The following is a 1,356-nucleotide window of genomic DNA, read 5'->3' as shown; positions in this document are numbered from 1 at the left end:
AGTGCCACTCCTGAGTGCTGCTTTCTACTTCCTGCTGAAATGGAGATGCTGGAAGACTGTCTGGCTGGAGCAGCTCCAGCCACCTGCCCCCACGGGGAACCTGAGAACAAAGCCAACACACAAAGGAAGGTGGATCCATGCCAGGAGATGGAGGGAGTCAAGGTTCTGATAATGTTGTTTGAGTCCAGTCATGTATGAAGGCAGCCCTGTTCCTGAGCTTCCCAGTTTTGTAAACCAATAAATGCTCTTTGCGTTTACACCTATTTGGTTTAGGTCTATCAAGAGGATCCTAAATGATATTCTACCTAAATTTAAGAATTAAAGAAAATAATGTAAAGTGCTCAGCAAAATACCTGGTATAGTAAGTGCTCAGTAAAGGTTAGCTTAATTGTGCCTATTATGGAGTTTAGTTCAGAAAAGAGAGGACTCCATAATTATTGTGAATATCAAGTGAACTCCTTCAGGCATGGCAAAGAGCCAGTCTTATTGGTAGGTTGAATCTCACGAGATACGAAATAAGCAATTTCAAGAAGTCTTTCCTATCCTTAACACCTCTCTGCCTCCTTGGCACTGAGAGCCCCAGATGTCAAAAATTGTCATCAATCCCTTTGTTTTCAGACATTTAAAGAGGAGTTTCTCTTTTAGCTATAGCACCTGCACGAATGAGTCCATGAGCTCCATTCCTGAGGGCGGATTTTGAGAGTGGCCTATAGAGATAGCAGAGTCCCCTGGCTGCCCTGAGAGATGAAGAGAGACACAGCCACAGAAGAGGTGACGGACGGAAACTCCTGCCATCTTCCTATGCAGTTTTGGCCTGGCTGTCCTTGCCAGGCACCCTCAAGAAGCTCCAGCCTCAGATTTTAAAAGCTGTGTAACTTTTTGAACTCAAAGAAAGATCTTTGGCTAAAATGGCCCCCCAAAACCTTTGTTAAACAAGCACAGTATGTAACCCAGTCCTCTTCTTCTGCCCGGGCATCCCCCAGATACTGCCCTTTGCAGTAGAAGCAGCCCAAGGTGTCGGGGCCCATGACAAGGGAATCAAAACTTTTCTCTTGTCAGGTGTGTGTGAGGAGGTACCTTGGTCATCTGTGATTCTTGCCTTGCCAAGCAGATGGCTGGAGACTAAGAATGGAGAAGCTGCCTAGAGGGAGTACAGAGTAAATATTTTAAAGTTCTGTCGGAACAAGGTCAGACATGCTCCTGGGTAAGGACCTGAGTCATATTTCAAAGAAATGAGGCAGAGCTTCCTGGAAGCCACAGTCGAAACAACTTCAGACATCCAGTTTAACCCGAGAGGTTTGAATTCCTTCCTTTCTCTTATCTTTCTTTCCTTTTTTCTTTTGTTCACTTTTAGCT

At 45.0% G+C, this 1,356-nt stretch overlaps 1 annotated feature.

Moving 5' to 3' along the window:
• Positions 778 to 961: a silencer, noted in NCBI's record as "fragment chr1:180555052-180555235 (GRCh37/hg19 assembly coordinates)". NCBI's record gives its function as "represses an EF-1alpha promoter that drives an FKBP-Casp9 reporter gene in an ReSE screen in K562 erythroleukemia cells {active_cell/tissue: K562}" and the evidence as "EXISTENCE:reporter gene assay evidence [ECO:0000049][PMID:32094911]".

The sequence above is a fragment of the Homo sapiens genome, chromosome 1 (assembly GCF_000001405.40).
Source record: "Homo sapiens chromosome 1, GRCh38.p14 Primary Assembly".
NCBI lineage: Eukaryota > Metazoa > Chordata > Mammalia > Primates > Hominidae > Homo > Homo sapiens.
The sequence above is the reverse complement of the archived record's forward strand: the minus strand, read 5'-3'. Positions and strand labels throughout refer to the sequence as shown.